Below are 18497 nucleotides of genomic sequence, written 5' to 3'. Positions count from 1 at the left end.
AGCCCCTGCTGAGCAGTGAACCTGAGCATCATGGCTGTGAGACACTGGTCCTCTCCTCTGGTCCCCAGCATCCTCAGCCAGCACCAGACAGTGCCCCGCTCCCTGCTTTTCTGTCACCTGATGAATCGTCTGAGTCAGCTAAGAGCGAGTGCTAAAAGCCCAATCTGGAAGGGACAGACTTGAAAGTAGTAATTATATATTTTCAATTTGAAAATTGCTTGAGATGAGAGATTCAAAATCTATTTGGGGACGCATAAATAATACACTGGTAATTGGCACATTTTTACATCAGCCTTTCCATTTTAAACACTCAGGACAACTAAGGAAAAGTGCTACGAAAATAAAAATGAGATCATATATTTCTTGCCCACATCTTATTTGTTACATTCTTTACATGATTCACATGGTCCATGGAACACACCTCCACTGTCATGTTCTCAAAATAATTGAGAGCACTGATACCTCCACTGGGAAACTGATGGAATGAACTTATTAACTGAGGCATTTGGTCTGTTCACACTTGATATAATTACTTATATGTTTCTGTCTGTCTTTCATCCTGCTTTTTCTTCTCTTTGTTCCATCTGTTTTTGTTCTGTCTTCTTCTCTTGTTTTCTTTTGGATCAGCTGAGCATTTTAGAGTTTCTACTTTATCTCCCTTATTGACTCTTAAGCTTTACCTCACAGTGTTGTTTTTAATGGTGGCTCTAGGGTTCATAATATATATACATATGTATGCACACACATGTATATATACATATATGTATATATTTATCAGTATCTATTACAAAAGAACATCTTGTGTGCACATTACATGGTCTATGTGATTTACAACAGTATATTTTCACTTTCCCTCTCTTGTCCTCTGGGCTATTGCTGTCACATATGTCATTTCTACCCATGTTATAAACTCAACTATTTTTGCTTTAGATGGCCAAACATCTTTTAAAGAAATGAAGGAATGGAAAAAATTTACCCACATGTCTGCATTTGTCTGAGCTCTCCACTCCTTCAGTAGGCTCCCGTTTCCATCCAAGGTATAATTTTCCTTCAATCTGAAGAAGTTTGACTGTTTCTTGTAATGCAATTCTGCTAGTGATGAATTCTCTCACTTGTTAATCATAAAATAGCTTTATCTGACCTTTATTTTTAAAAGGTATTTTCCCGGATACAGGATTTTTGTTGGTAAGATTTCTTTCCTCTCTCTCTCCCTCTTCCATCAGTACTTAGGATGTTTTTCCATTGTTTTTGGTCTGCAGTATCTGTGATAGCAGAAGCATCTTTTCACTAACATTCCCTTTCCTCTGTGTAATGTCTTTCTTCCCCTCTGGCTGCTTTTGGATTTTTTTCTTTGTCTTTCAGTAATTTGAGTATGATTTTCCCAGTTTTCAAGAACTGTGAGAAATAAATGTCCTTTGTCCAAGCCTCCCTGCCCGTGGTATTCTGTTATGGCAGCCTGAGCCTGCCGAGATGGAGTGGCCGGGAGGGCTGCTATCTAAAGAGGCTGGGCTATGCTGTTGCTGGTCATCGACTGCAGCTCCTCTTGTGTGTGACCTCCATGGGAAATGTCGGCAGCACAGTTTTGATCACATCCCCATCACCACGGCCTCCCCTCAGATGGTTCCCATAGCTTTCGGCACTCACCAGGCCCAAATGATCTATCCCTAACCTACCTTTCCAGACCCACCTACCAACATGCTTCTCGTCCCTCCCCTCCTTTCACTCACTGGCCTTCAATCAGTTCCTCCAATGGGCGGTGCTTCCCCAGCCTCACACCTTTGCAAGGTATTCCTCCTCCCTCCCCAGGAAGTGCTCTTCCACTCCCAAGTACAATTCACTTGCTCAACTCATGATATTCCTCCAGGTTCCAACACACCCAGCACTTATCCAGGGAAGGCTACTCTGCCTTTACTAATCAGATAAATTCTCCCATTGTACATTTCATGACATCTGTCTGTAGCACTGACCAATATCTACAAGTATGTTTTCTGTGAATATGAGACTAGTGGCTCTTCCCTGCACTTGTCTTGCTCCACAAAGACAAGTGCCCATGTCTATTTTGCTCACCATTGCACTCCCAGTCCTTGGCACAGTACTTGGCCCACATGCCTATTGTGTGCTCAGCTATCTATTCTAATAGACTCATTAACAAAGAGCAAGAAGGACCTGACTGCCAAACACATTAGGTCATGGCTGCACGGCTCTCTCCTCAGGCCTGGGCTTAATTCCTCTGCAAGAACTTGGCTAGAATGGTTTTCTCAGTCCTTTCATTCTGCTATGACAGAATAATATGGACTGGGCAACTTACAAACAAGAGAAATTTATTTCTCATCGCTCTGAAGGCTGAAAAGTCCAAGATCAAGATACCAGCAGATTTGGTGTCTGGTGAGGGCCCACTTCCTGGTTCACAGACCACATCTTCTTGCTGTGTCCCCACACAGTGGAAGGGATAAGATGTCTTTCTGAAGTTTCTTTTTGAGGGAAATAATCCCATTCACGAAGGCTCCCCACTGGGACCTAACACCTCCCAAAGGTCTCACCTCCTACCACATCACCTTAGGCGATACTGTGTTGATGGGCTGACTCTGGATTGATAGTTCATTATGTTGACAGGCTTTATGGTGTGAACTGTTTTTGGGTGGGGGGGTGTCACAAACATTCAGATGATACAAGAGTCCTAAGAAAAAACAGAAGGAGAAACTTCTTACCTAAACAACTGAACGTTGTGCCCTTCACAGGGGAACTTGCTTAATCACGGTGTGTGTTCAGACATGTGTGGGGCGACTGCCTGCTGGGGAGTGGTGGAGGGAACTTAGGTATTGAATGAGAGTTTCAACATGATAAAAATGAGAGCTTCAATCTGATTGAATGAGAGCTTCAACCTTCAAATGCTCACACTGCATGAGCACATTCTCAACTCCAGCTGCTCCCCCATGACATCAAGTGGTTTTGGACGTCAAGCCATGTATTGGGAGATGTCTGTTTTCCCTTTTTTTTTTTTTAACTGAGCTTCTTTAGAAAGGTCTCAGAGATCACTCACAACAGCTTTATGACCAAGTGCTGTTTTTCCCATAAAGAAAAGGGGGGTCCCCTGAGTCACCTTCCTATGGCTACACAGCTGGTGTTAGAGTGAGATTTGGGCCGGGTCCCTCCATCACTTCTGCTCGCCTAGCGGGCATCTGACTGCGAGGGAGCCTCTTCTGCAGTCCCAGGTGCCAGGGCCTCTGTTCCTGCACACTGTGCAGGGTAACAGTACCAGTGATCGCCTTGATCGCACCTCCACCCCCACTGCCATGGGGTGCAGCCACTCCTTCCCTACGGACCCTGGCAGCCGATGCAGCGCAATCAGAGAGAGTCACTTTCTTCCCAGTTGGAAGCTTTTCTCCCGGTGTGCACCTCACCAGGCTTGAGGACAGAGGGGAGGCCTGCAGAGCTGGGAGGCCTAGCTGGAGTGAGGACGTCAGAGGAGGAGCAGCTGTTTCCTCTGCTGTCTTTCCTCTGGGACACTCCAGGTGGGCGCCCTTGAGAGGGGTCTCATTTTTGAGCTCCAACTAGTAGTATGTGGAGGGATTTATGTTATTTTTAAAATCTGATTAGTTTTAGCCTCTGTTAACTAAGAACAATAGCCTCACTCTGAGCCACCCACCACATGCAGGCAGTGCTGAAGCAGACAGTGAGCACAGCTAAGCTGAGCCCAGCCAGGACATCTTGGTTTTAATTTTGGTTTTTGCACCTTGGGTGCTCTTTCTCTACATGGGATGACAATGTCCACCCTGCCTTTCTCACGGGAGCTACAGCAGATAAGTCCAGGGAGAGAAAGCAATTTTCAAATGGCCAAGTGCTCTAAAGGACAAAAGACAAATGTACTTCTTACTTTAGCAGATGTGGAAAGAGAGGAAAAGAATCAGGGGGCCCATGACAGAGGAGGCCCAGGGGACCTCGGGCATGGGCTATCTGCAGTCATCCCTTCAACCATTCACCCAGGCAACAGGCACAAAGCACAGAGACTAAGCTTTCGGTGTGCAGTAGCCGGGGACACAGGCATGAGAAGACAGCCCCTGCTCTATGTGAGAGGGCCTGGAGAGAGGGGCTGATAGCTAAAGAAGTATTTACTCAGAAGAGCTGAGCAAAATTAGTGCAGGTCACACTGAGCAGGAGAGTTAAACCCAGGGAGAATAAAGCTCTGTTTCTCTTCGGTTTTCAATAAAGAGTCTTGTTGCAACATGAAGTCCTCGGAGGTGACAAGGGAGTGGGTTTCAGGCCAGAAGAGACATCCTATCATCTTTAAAATACGTGCTAAGGAACTCAGTGCTTTGTCTTTGCATTGAGACATGCACCCTGCAGTATAATGGATTTCTTTGCTGCACTGGGTAAAATTGTGATTTTATTTGCATAATCTATTTGTAATAATAAGTGGAGTGTCTTCATTTCCTAGGAAACAGCAGGAGCTGTTTGCTTTGCCACCCCAATCCCAGTTCCTTGCGGGAAGCTGGAACATCATAGGTGTGGCTGGTGCCTGCTGGTGTAGGGGGTGGGCTGCGAGTCATGGGAGCTGAAAGGCATCATTCCACACACGGCCTTCATGCATGGGCCAAGCCAGGGGCGCAGGCAGTGGCCTCCCTGCAAGACCTTTATTACCCTAGAGGCTCCCCTGAAGAGTCTCAAGCTTGGAAGAAGAAGACAGAAACACCTTTCACTCTTCCTACAAAATAACAAACCACTCTAAAACCCAAAGAAGAAGATGTTGTCCACATTAGGGCATTTCTTAAATTGATTTTTTAAAAGAGCAAATCAATACTAAAATGGAATTAATGGTGATACTCTATTTGCAATCAGCTGAGATACCATAAGAAAATTTGTTCAAAGAAAAGAAGAATACACTTCTTTTTGTACTTTTCCCCTCTGTTATTTCTGAATATTATCTGAATATTAGTTGAGAAAGTTCACTATCTCATATGGAGATGGATATGGATGCATTTTCCATCCAACTTCCTTCTAAAATAAAAGGTGTGTCTGTCCCTGTTACTACACTCTAATGTGAATCTCATTCTGCAAGCTTCGCATTGCCTAAAGACGTAATCAGAGCCACTGAGAAAGGCTCAGAAGGCTCACTGTGCTGGTTCGCTGCATCCCACCCCATCCCACTGTCTGGTGTCTTGCTCTCCCCTGCTTTGTAGCTTTGCATGTCTTCTTACATCTCTCACTTCTTGGACTTATGCCATGCCCACCCCTACCTAGAAAACAGCCACTCCTCCAATACTGAGGTTGCCTTTTCTTCCTCTAGGGCTAGCAACCACCTCCTCCTTTGCGACAGGTATGACAGGTGCCCCAGACAGGTACCATCTCACTGTCAATAGCATCCTCTGCTGGCCTGATCCTCCTCTCACTGACTGGTGAGCTCCCTAAGGACCAGCAGTTTATATTGGTTTTCACAGGCATGACATGTGCATGGCAGACTTAAATTATTGTGTGAGGAAAGAACTGTAGGAAGAGAGGGGAGACAGAATGCTAGAGCACACATGTTAAAGAGAAAGCAAGCAGAAATGATGCACTTGGGAGATTGAAGAGGAAAGGCAGAAGGAGCTCAGGATGCTAACACTGGAGAAGAACATCTTTGGAGAATGTAAGAGCAATCTTCAAATATTTGAAGGGTTTTAAGGTGGATAAAGCATGACAAGAACTAGAACCTGGATTGACCAGTGAAAGAATGAGGACATTTTCACACAGAATTTTCCAGCATTTCAATTGTCAAAGATGCCCTGACACAGAGGCTTTGTCATGGAGGTCATTGTGTGCTTGGTGGGGATCAGCGCCTGGGCGGAGGTGGAATGCTGGGTTAGGTGACCTCGCCAGCACTGCCCAATGCTGGAAGTCTAATTGTCGGTAAACATACCACCAGTAACAAGGTACTCTGGCATGAAGCCCTACTCCATCTGCCTCATATCAGGCAAAAAGGAAAGAAAATTATCTGGGAGAGGAAACTAAATAGCCCTGAATGGTTGATCTCAAGAACCATCAGTTTTTGGTATGTCAAATTCTAAATTCTATATTTTTTTCAAATTTCACTAGTAAAAATATTCAGAAGCACTTTTGCCATCCTAAATGTCTTGGACAACATTTATATGAATGGTTTGAAAAAAGTTCTTATCCAAGATTGATTACTGATCTGCTTTTGGAACTGGCTTTCTAAACACTTCATGAAGCAACATCGCTTGATACGAGAGACATCACTTTCCACTGAGAGGAGCCCACCTGTATTAATATCACTTCCTTATTTTGTAAAGAACTAACGAATGTGTACAGATTATGATGAGAAGATCCCCTTTCAAAACAGTAGTCAGTGCAATACTTGATACTTAATGTCTAAAATGATTTCACCAATGTGATATTACAGCCACAAAAGGTTCGACGTAAATCTCATCATCATAGAGCTATCAGATATTGCAGAATGCAGGACATTTTACCCGTCTAACAGATAACTGCCCTGGAATCTTCAGGAAAGTAAATGTCATGACAAATACATCAAATTGAATAGGAGGGTGCCAATCTAGATCAAAAGAGCCTGGAGAGACACAACAAGTAAAAATGTCAAGGGTGAAGCTTTGATTCCTGGATCAAACCTGGATCAAAGCTATGAAAGATCTTTCAGCTGCAACTGAGAACCCAGTAGTACTATTTGTCTTGTGTGCTAATACTAACACTAATGTGCTAATACCAATTACAGTAACATTAGGGGTAGTAGTATTTTTGGACTGTAGATTTGATACTAAATGACAACTTTGATTTACCGTATTGTGAGTATGCGGGGGAATGTTTTCATTCTTAGGTGGTACATGTGAAATATTCAGGACTGACATGTAATGTCTGCAACTTATTTTCAAAGGATTGGCAAAAGAGAAGCTGTGTTTGTGTGTGTGTGTGTGTTTGGAGAGACAGTAAATGTGGTAAAGGATAACAATTAATCTAGGTGAAGAGTAAATAGGTGTCTATTATACTATTCTTCAGCTTTTCTTTACATTTGAGCATTTTCCAAGTAAAAGTGGGAAAACAATTTTGGAATGTTTATGTGTGAAACATTCTAATTTATTCTATGTGTAATTACAATAAAATTTGCTTGCGAACATGGACATGGGTCCCTCTGACATTTCCTTCTTCCATCCCCCCGTAACTGAATTGGTCCGCTCCTAAGGTGCAGCTGAGCGACACTGGCACCCCTCACAGGCTCTCACAGCCCCTGCAGGGGAGAGATGCCAAGAAGACCTGCACGTTCCCTGCCACACAGAACTGTTTACTTCATGGAATGGTTAAGACAAGCAAGCCCACTCGCACATGGTAGACAGTGATGCTTACATTAGGAGAGATAAGTTCACAAAAGTTTTGGGGACACTCAAGAGGTTTGGAAAATTGAAATCACTCAGGCTGGAGAATTAGAGAGAGTGAGAGATAAAAAATGGAGTGTGGATATGGCCACCATGCTGAGAAGCACTGACTTATGTATTTATGAGACAGGGTCTCACTGGAGTGCAGTGGCACAATCGTAGGCTCACTGTAACCTCAAATTCCTGGGTTCAACCAATCTTCTGGTCTCGGCCTATTACCTATTTGATCCTAGTAACAGCCCAAGAGATTGCAGCTGTTTTTCTAAAATGAAATGCTCCATGTGATCACATGGAGGTTATGAGATTTGCCTACAATCTTAGTAGGTGACCCCACTCTGGAGCCAGGGCAACAGAGCAAGACCCTATCTATACAAAAAAATAGGAAAATTAGCTGGGCATAGTGACATGTGCCTGCAGTCCTAGCTACTTGGGAGGCTGAGGCTAAGTTGCCCAGGCTGAACACAAGTCCTGCCCTCAAGAAATCCTCCCTCCTTGGTTTTCCAAAGTGTTGGAACTACAGGCATGAGCCACGGTGCCCAGCCTAGATTTAATTTAGAGGGCAGTAGGAGTCTCTGAGGATACTGAGTAGAGATGAGACATGGTGAGAGGTGTATTTCAGCAGAGTTCATCTGGGACCAGGCTTGGTAGGCAGGTGGGTCGGGGGAGCTGAGAGGTAATGTAGGGAGCAGCCACATGGGACACTGAGACTGGCGAGGGCAAGAAGAGGTAGAGTGAAAGTGATGGCCACCAGCCCAGGCTCCAGAGCTGGGTCACCTACTAAGATTGTAGGTGAATCTCGTAACCTCCACGTGATCACGTGGAGCTCTTCATTTTAGAAAAACAGCTGCAGTCCCTTGGGTTGCTACTAAGATCAAATAAGTAAGAGGATTTCAATGTTTTGAATTCTGAAAACAATGATGTTGCCTTACCCTTATGTGTGCAAGCTAATTTTCTGCTGGTCCCTTATCCCAACTGTGAATGCAGAACCCTCATACCTCCTGCCAATGTTTCTTCAGCTCATCAGCTATATCTAGGGGCATCAGAAGATGCTTCACACATGCTAAGGAGCAGGCCCAGTCCAGTCTCTGGCCAGTCATCCTGTGATGCCCATTTTCTTTCCCTATTCCAATTCTAGCAAACCCTAGGTACTCCCTTTTCCATTTGGCGTGTTTCTCCATTGGATACCATTGATATCCATTACTGCCAGGTACTGCACCCGATCTGGCCCCTACCTACCAAGTCAAAAAAGTGCCACTACCATTCCATCTAGCCCAAGAGGACCAAAGCTGCACAGTGGCCAGTGGCACAGGGAGGAGATATTCACTTTATCCTTTTGTACAGACCCATATCTAAGAAGGCCAAAAGTATGGCTGCTTTACCATGTCAATACCTTACCATGATTTCAGTGAAACAGTTTTAGCTTTCCCCTTACCACCTCCTTCTCAGGTACCCAAGGAGTGAACAGAGTACCAAATGCTACACTCAGCGTGATCCCTAACTCTGTGGACCAAAGCTTTGCTAATGAATCAAGTTCACCGTCCTTGGGTTGGGCTCTCTCCCAGGAAATTCCTCAATATGTCATAATATACAATTCTTCCTATATCCTTAATTTTTTCCTAAGCATCCCCAGATATTTTGGGTCAGATGGGACAACTTCAGTACTAGTAAGCTGTAAACAGTCTTAGAGAATCATTATCAGTTTTATTGCATAAATTTTCCCTTCACTTTTATAAATAAAATTATAGTGTATGTGTAAGTTTATTTCTATGCATATATTTTTAAGTTCCTTAAAGACAGGGAGGATATCTTTTATCTTTGTTTCCTTTGAAGAGCCTGTCATTTGGTAGCACACAATAATGGCAGCTGCATTAGGTTTCACATCCTTTAGTTTATAGAAGCTGTGATGTATTAACTACAGTATCACCTTCCTGGTCTTTAAGATTCTGCACATGCTTTAAACTAATTTTTCTAATACGTGTTCCTGTAGCAACTAGATATCAGTATGAAGAGAAAAACATGAACCTTGAACTCCTACCTCATACCACAAGTAAAAATTAATTTGAGGTGAATTACAGACCAAAATGTGAATGCTAATATATTCAAAATGCTAAAGTATTCAAATTTTAAGAAAAAAGCAAATACAAATGTATATGACTTTTAAATAAGCAAATAACTTGTAAATAGGACATCAAAAACACTAAACATAAAAGAAAAAACATTGGCAAGCAAATTTAACTTCTTTAAGAGCTTTTCTTCATCAAAAAGCATCATTAAAAACGTATGCAGACATTGTAAAAGATGGAGGTTTCCTAAGTTCAGGGTTCCTCTGCTGTGGCACAAACTGGTTGGCTGTTTCACACTGCCCCCATGGAACTTGGGGGGCAAGGAGAACAGAGGCAAACATGAAGCTCACAATGCCTGCTGTGACATCAATGCCTACAGTGTAACAATGTCCTTTGTCTCTGACCCAGGCATCTCTTGTCTTCTTCCAGAAACCATGACACTATGGCAGGCCAACTTACTAGCTTTCAAGTAAGGTAACATCTCAGACCATCATAGGTTTTGACAGGGGAAACTCTGAAGGACCACAGGAGTTGGAGGTTCCACGTATCTCTAAGTAGTAACATACGATGGGTCCAAAACAGAAGAAAGAGAACTCAAGATTCCCGAGCCACAGAGCTGTTGATTGGAGGCTGACTCAGAGAAACCCTGGATTCAGTGACATACAGAGACAACAGGTGGGTGCACCAGCCCCTTTCCTTGACAGGCTCCCAGCATTTTGTCTGTAGGTTTGCAACTTCCCAGGCAACAATAGAAAAAAAAAAATCTTCCATCTGAGGAAATTAACAAGCCAAAGTAAAAAGACCTGGAAATACTAACAAGCAGTACTTCTCTGAAATTCCCAGTTTTCATCCTAATATGAGGCCCATAGAGAACTTCCAACCAGCCAGGAGTGCTTCATATCTACTTATTCATGAGAGGCCAGTAGGGAAATGCTCTATCATGAATGATGTACTCCAAAACAAACAGAAGCAATGTGAGACCAGAAGAAAACTTCCAGAAACTATGGTTAAGATCCTCCAAAAGAAAAAAAAAAAGTTACTGGTTCATTGAAATAACAGGAGGATGCTGTAAAAAAGAAACATCCTAAGTATTAGAAAGATCCTTCAGAAATTAAAAAAAAATCAGTAGTTGGAAGGTAAATTTGAAGGGATTTCCCAAAAACTAGCATAAAACCAAACAGAGAAGTCTTATAAAAGAGAAAAGTAATAAAAGAATTATCAAAGAAATAATACCAAACAATCTCAATAATCAAATGACTTTACATATAGTTAAGACTTGCCTAGTCCATGGCATATGAAAAGAAAATCAGAAATACTACCATTTGAAATTCCAGAATAAAAGGGGGAAGACCTTTCTGGTTGTGGCTGAGGATAAAGGGGGTTGGGGCAAGAAGCAGCTCACAATCAGACTGACCTAAGGAAAGATGGCCCAGAACTCACCCACAAGCAGTGGATCTATGTTTGCACAACTCTCAGGGGAAATTATTTTCTACCCATTCACAAAGTTACCTTCCATGCAACATTCCTCAGAAGATTCCTGGAGAATATTCTCCACCAAAGTAAGGAAGCAGAATGACCAAGACTGGGAAGATCTGGTGGGGAACCAGGGAGTCCACCCAGGAAAGAGCAGGAGGGTCTTGCAGTATGACAGTGAGGGGTTCAGGTGGGCCACTGTGGCAGGCAGCCCTGTGGGAATGGGAGGGAGGGTAATCTGAGTCTGTGGCCATGGAGGTTGGCTAAAGCCTTCCAACCCATGGAGAGGGCTGTGTGCTTCCATCACAGCTGCCAACAAAACACTACAGTGCTTGGATGTCAGACATTATTTTCTTTTAAAGGGACTTAATCGCCTTCTGGACAAACATAATCTATGCGACCTCCTCCCCATAAGGTAAGCAGGTCACACTAGGACATTCTGCAAAGTTCAGTAATTACATGACTGTAACATTGTAAGCAGGGAATGTGTATCTGACCAAATCTTGGTTCATGATTGTTTTGGAAGGTGAGCGGGGGAACAAAAGGGGAAAATGGGTAGAGTGTAAGACAGGGAAAGTCTAGCGTTTCCAGGAGGCATCAATGTAGCTGAGAACGAATAATCAAATGTTCATATAAGGATATTACTAGGAACATGATGGAAAATAAGAGAAGAAATCCCTTAAAGAATGGAAAATGAACCCAGGTTCAGGCAGGATGGAGGGAGCTGCACTTTTTTTTTTTTAAGATGGAGTCTCACTCTATTGCCCAGGCTGAAGTGCAGTGGCGCAATCTCGGATCACTGCAATCTCCACCTCCCAGGTTCAAGCGATTCTCATGCCTCAGTCTCCCCAGTAGCTGGGATTACAGGTGCGCACCAGCACACTTGGCCAAATTTTGTAATTTTAGTAGAGATGGGGTTTTGCCATGTTGGTCAGATTGGTCTTGAACTCCTGAGCTCAAGTGATTCACCTGCCTCGTACTTCCAAAGTGCTGGGATTATAGGCGTGAACCACCATGCCCGGCCTGTATTTTTCTTTTTGAGTCTTTTAGTATTATCTTATTCTTTTAACCATAAAAATTAAATTGCTTAGATAAATATAAGTTTTATAGCAGAACATGGAGGAGGAGGGCGTGGAGGAAGAGGGAGGAGAAAATAAAAAATAAAGTCCTTTGTAGGTGCCATAAGCAAAGTGAGCGGTTTGGAGAGAACACTGTACATGACTTCCTGACTACAATGGCCTGTGGCTGATGAAGTACAGCACTTTGGTGGAAACAGGTGGGCAGTGTGTGTGGGTGAGGAATATGATGGCTTTAAAGACAACATCTTTCAAACTAGAGTGAAATGAGAGACCATTCTCTAAATAAATATTCAGGTGGTAATTTGCCATACGAAAAATTTCAGCTGTAAGATGTGTTCACCTAATAAGGAGGTATTCCCCACATGACATGGTTTATCATGGAAATAGTGAAGGTTTTATTTTTCCTTTTTTAATATTTGACAATAATGCCATTTATTTGTTATTAAATTTTTAACTTAGCTACATAGCAGTTTATTCTAACCCTTGGCACATTATTTAAAAAGAAACTCATCCCAGGTCCATGGTGAAGATAAAATAATTTGTCTCTCTCAGATAGAAATCTTATGAAAACAGGTATGATTATTGTAATTCCTTTTAATTACTGCTATAATTGCACAAAATCTTTAACATAAAGCAAATGTAAACAGTATTTATAAGTATAATTTGAGAGTAAATGAAAAATCACTTTGAAATAAACATGGAATAAGGGAAAATCATCTTTAACAGTCACTTCTTCATGGACTCTTAGGTACAGGATCAGTATGGGTTTTAATTGAGGGGCTCGGCACCAAATGACAGACTTGACACATCCACCCCCACCATGGATGCTGTCCGTCCACTGTTGCACAATGTCCTTCAGTGTCTAATTTACAGATCCAGGTATATTTTATCTTCCTCCTATTTCTCTGTCCTGGTGTAATTTACCCTAAATCAACCAGACCATTTTCCATGTATTAAATAGCTTTCAACTCAGGTCTTATTCCTCGCAGCTGTATTTCCCCTTCCACCTGCATCCCTGAAGTTCCTCCCACCTGAAAACTTCACCTGACCCAAGAAAGCAAAGGAAAAAACCCGGAGAGCCAGCTCATAGTCTGGTTCACTGTTTAACAGCCAGAAGCCAGAGCCTGCGTACTAGAAGTGGATGCCCAGGAAGTACTTGTGAGCTGACTAAGAATGTAAGAACGCCACCCACTTCATTCAGGAAAGTGAGGCAGGATTCCATGGAGTATGAATGACTGCACATGGAACAAGCAGGTTATCATTTATATTCAGCAAGGGACCTCCATGAACAGGACATTTGGGGAGCTGCTATCAAACATCAGAACTTCTGACACTGTGCACACAGTCTTATATTGTGCCTTGTCTGTTGTGATGTCTCACTACAGTAATGATTAAGATGATGAGCACTTATGCGTTGATATTGCAATATGTCTGCGTAAGAACTATCGCTAAGGCAGGTTATATTATTACCCTCAGTGTATAGGTAAGGAGGTTAGACTGATAACTTACCCAGTGTCACATAGGTAGTAATGGCCAAACTAGAGTTGGAACCTGTCTGCCTACTCTCCAAGCTCAGGATTGACTTGAGCACAAGGGTAAGTATCTCACATGCTTTGTAAAGTTCAGGTTGATAACAAAATATGTGAAAGGCAGGGGTATAGACAACAGGGGGCATATGAAATACGGGAAGGGCCTAAAGAAATTCAAGTCTATTATTTTTAATCCACTGCTGTCAAATGACAAATGATTACTGGCTTTTCTTCAGCTTATGATTCCTGTATTTGAATCCTGAAAAACTTACATTTCATATATTACCAACTATTATGGGGAAAACTATCACATGGGAATAAAACTCCAGTGCCCTAAGGATTTGTTTAACGCTAGATAAATCTTATGAGTTTGCAAACTATAATTTTTAAAAAGAATTCAGTCTTTTTCTTTTCCCAAATATAAGTTCCCAATCTTCCATTCCAGACATGCAGCAATTGAATTCGAGTCATCTGTGTTTCATTTTTTATAGTGCAATACTCTCTACCTGCAAGTGCAAATAATTTTTCCAATAACATATTCTTCTCTTCCACTTCAGAAATATGATTCTTTCTCTGTTGGACTTGGGGCTGGGGGAGGGAGTCTTCATCTCCTGCAACTCTGCTTTTAGAAAATAATGTCATTCTACACATAAGTCACAGGCAGGCAGGAAAATGATGGGAAGAAATGACTTGTCAGGTGTGGATTTCTTCAAAGCATGAACTGCTTAGAAATCAGTGGTGGCAAATAAGCCTGTAAAAGACAGGAAAACACTCCACACCATCGAATTCTATCTGTAAGTTCCAAATGTTCATGGCCCTATTGCTGAACAAAACTCTGACTGCTGATCACCTTCAGAGTAAAAGCTGGAAAACAAATTCATCTTCAACCAAAATCAAAAATTTCTCTTGTCAAGAAAACAGTGAGCTGAGGAAAATTTTTTAAAATATAAATCCATTTCATTTTGGTAAGATGGAAGAGACATACTTGTCTCTACTTTTCTTGCTAAATGCAACTAAAATCCCTGGATATTACATGTAAAACAATCATAATAAGACTGAGAATTAGACAAAAGGCAAACCAGTTAGGGCATCAGGACCCAAGGGATGACATGGTAGCGAGTATCTTGGGCTTTCTTTGCTTTTCGTTTCATTCCAGATTTGGAACTGAAGAAGCTAAAAACTCAGACACACCAATGCATGGGAATTTTAAAAATTCTCAACAGAAGCCAGCTCTCTCTAGTTAAAGGACAAGTAAAGGGGCATCCTAACAAGACAGAATACTTCTATTTCTTTCTTTTTTTTTTTTTTTTTTTTTTTGAGACAGAGTGTCGCTCTGTCACTCAGGCTGGAGTGCAGTGGCTTGAACTCGGCTCACTGCAAGCTCCACCTCCCGGGTTCATGCCATTCTCCTGCCTCAGCCTCCCAAGTAACTGGGACTACTGGCGCCCACCACCACACCCAGCTAATTTTTTGTATTTTTAGTAGAGACAGGGTTTCACCGTGTTAGCCAGGATGGTCTCGATCTCTTGACCTCATGATCCGCCTGCCTCAGCCTCCCGAAGTGCTGGGATCACAGGCATGAGCCACTGTGCCTGGCCACGACAGAATACTTTTAAACAATAACCACTCTTTTCTAGCCAAACAGAATAGATAAAATGGTGGACTTGGCTTCGCTCACAAAGGCTGAGTAAGGAGCCCTGAATTCTACCCTTACTGGGCTACAATAAGGCATCCATCCCTCAACTAAGGTGGTTTCAGAGAGTGCTGACGAGGGAGACAGGCGTTTGATTTCCTCTAAACAGTAATGAGCTTCCTCTCCTAATGATATAGTTGGAGACCACGTGGAAGCAGGTACTTGTACCCGTCCAGCCAGCACACTATCTGCAGGGACCTAGAGGGAAGCTAGAACTCCCTCCCTATCCAGCAATGATTAGGAGACAGCCTCCAAGGGTAAATAAACCCAATAAATAAACCCAAGGACGGAAACTGGACTTCTGTAGCAACCTGGAAGTGATGAACTCCAACTCCCTTTCCACCAGAGTGCTGTTGCAGAACGCCAAAACAGACAGCTTAAATAAGATAGACTGTTGCATAAAATAATATCTGAAATGTTCAGTTTTCAACTGAAAAACACTCAGCCCATTCTACCAAGAACCAGAAAGTTCTCAAACTGAAGGAAAAAAGATAATCAGTTGACATCTATACCAAGAAGGCAAAGATGTTAAAATTATGTGGCAAAGATTTTAAAAAATAATAAAAGATAAAAGCAGCCATCACAAAAATGTTTCAACAAGCAATTACTAATATGCTTGAGACAAATGAAAAAATAAAAAGGCTCAGCAAAGAAACAAACTCTCAGTAGAAGACATAAAGAAGACCCCAGTGAAAATCTTAGCACTAAAAAATTTGATGACAAAAATAATTTTTAAAAGCCTTCACTGGTGCATTCAGCAGCAGAATTGAGGAAAGAGGAAAGAATCAGTGGAACTTAATATAAAACAATAGAAACTGCACAATCTGAAAAACCAGCAAGAAAACAGACTGAAAAAATAAACAGAGCCTCAGAGACCAGTCAGACAAAAGATCTAGTATTTGTGTCATGGAAGTCCAGGAAGAATGGAAAGACAGTAAGGATGAAAAAGTACTCAAAAATTGACAGAAAGCATGTCAATTACAGGAGAATTCTACCAAATATTAAAAATATAATACAAATTATATACAATCTCTTCCAGAAAATAGATAAGGAAGGAACGTTGCTAAATTTAATTAATTTTATGAAGCCCCATCATCCTGATATCAAAATAATAGAGACAAGGACAAAAAAAAGTATAAACCAATATTCCTCATGAATATATGTGCATAAACCTTAAAGATACATATTAACAAACAGAATTCAGGAACATATAAAAATAATTATATACAATGACCACACGGGGTTTATTCCAAGGATTCCTGGCTGATGCAATATTCAAAAATCAATCAATATAATCTTCCACATTAACAGGCTCAAGAAGAAAAATAACATGATTGGATAAGTCACAATGCAGAGCAAGTATCAAACAAAATGCAACACCCATTCTTAGTAAAACCTCTCAGCAAACTGAACAGAGGAGAACTTCCTCAACTTGATAAACATCTACAACATAGAGTAAACATTGCAGGTAATGGTGAGTTACTGAATATTTCCCCCCTTGAGCTCAGTAGCAATTCAGGGATGCCCACTCTCAACTCTCATTCATCACAGTACTAGAAGATCTAGCCAGTGTAAGAAGGCAAAAGAAAGAAATAAAAGGCACTGAAAAAGATTCTCTGCTTGACCAAAATTTAGTCAGCCTGAAGATACAGGGCTACTAAAAGACAGATTTGATCATAAGATAATATAAATTTCCCCTCTTGCTACACCATGCCACATATCAACAGGGCTCCACTATAATAAATAACATTAGTTTACAGCTGAAAGACCTCAAGGTGCAGATTCTATACAAGGAGGGATTCTTAAGGAAGCCAAAAGACAGGAAGGGGAGGCAAAAATAAAGAATTTGGAGTTCCTGTTACATATACTGCAACAAATACTAAGCACAGCCCAACTCCTAGTAAGGTTAACATAAAGCCTCACACAAATGGCCTATTTACCTCACTTCCTGTTACTGATGTATCATGTCTTCCTTTCATCTAAAATTTACAAGTGATGTCAAAAGGCAAGAAAAAACACAATCTGAAGAGAGAAAGCAAACATCGGAGTAGAATGATTCAGATATGACACAGATTTTGGAATTATCAGAGAATTTAAAATAGCTACAATTAATATAAGGGACTCTAAATAAGTACACAACACACTAGAACAGATGGGTAACATAAGTAAACTTCAGAACACCAAAGAATAAGAGAAAATACTGAAAGAAGCCAGGAAACAGAAAAAATATATACGTTGAGAAGATATATGTTGAAAATTACAAAATGCTCATGAAAGAAATCAAAGAAGATCTAAATAAAAAGATATTCCATGTTCATGGATTAGAAGATTAAACATCGTAAAGATGTCTTTCCAAACTAATGTGTAAGTTTAACACGAATTGTATAAAAATTATTTAAAAATATTTCATATATAGAGCTACAATTATTCTAAAACTTATAGGTAAAAGCAAAGTACCTAAAACAATGCTGAAAAAGAAGAGTGCAGGAAGAATCACTCTACCAGATATTACAGCCTATTGTATAGCTACAGTAACCAACATTGTGTGATATTGTCAGAGGGATACACACATAGATCAATGGAACAGAATAGAGAACCTAGAAACTGCCTACACAAAAAGAGCTAAGTGGTTTTTTATAAAGATGCAAAGACAACTCAATGAAAAAAAGATAATCTCAATAACCATCTGAAATAATGAGATATTCATAAGCAAAAATGTGAACCTTGACTTACACCTGAGATCTTATACAAAAACTAACTCAGGCCAGGCGCCGTGGCTCACGCCTGTAATCCCAGCACTTTGGGAGGCCGAGGCGGGCGGATCACAAGGTCAGGAGATCGAGACCATCCTGGTCTAACTCTGTGAAACCCCGTCTCTACTAAAAATACAAAAAATTAGCCGGGAGTGGTGGCGGGTGCCTGTGGTCCCAGCTACTCAGGAGGCTGAGGCAGGAGAACGGCGTGAACCCGGGAGGCGGAGCTTGCAGTGAGCCGAGATCGCGCCACTGCACTCCAGCCTGGGCGACAGAGCGAGACTCCATCTCAAAAAAAAAAAAAAAAATTAACTCGAAAAGGATCATAGATTTAAATGTAAAACTATACAAGAAAAATTGAATTGTAGGATGCTCCACTGGTGTCAAATAATTGCTGAAAAGCACTTAAGGAAATCATATCTGAAATATGCAAAGAACAAAATTATTTTTCATGTTGTAAAAAATCCAATTAGAAAAGGGACAAAAGATATGAAAAGACATTTAATACTGATGAGAAATCAAAGAAGA

At 41.4% G+C, this 18497-nt stretch overlaps 1 protein-coding gene and 1 long non-coding RNA gene across 3 annotated transcripts in view; one reads left to right on the top strand and one right to left on the bottom strand.

The window, feature by feature from the left end:
• The window catches only part of GABRG3 (gamma-aminobutyric acid type A receptor subunit gamma3), a 570804-nt gene that overhangs the window by 370846 nt on the left and 181461 nt on the right, over positions 1-18497 (bottom strand). The gene's annotated exons all lie outside the window — the stretch shown is intronic.
• GABRG3-AS1 (GABRG3 antisense RNA 1) lies at positions 9820-13404 on the top strand. Its single transcript, NR_120343.1, has 3 exons — positions 9820-10117; positions 12743-12873; positions 12984-13404. It is a non-coding gene; the product is annotated as a GABRG3 antisense RNA 1 (long non-coding RNA).

Source organism: Homo sapiens, chromosome 15 (assembly GCF_000001405.40).
Source record: "Homo sapiens chromosome 15, GRCh38.p14 Primary Assembly".
Classification (NCBI taxonomy): Eukaryota; Metazoa; Chordata; class Mammalia; order Primates; family Hominidae; genus Homo; species Homo sapiens.
Note: the sequence above shows the minus strand (reverse complement) of the source record. Positions and strands in the feature narration are given on the sequence as shown.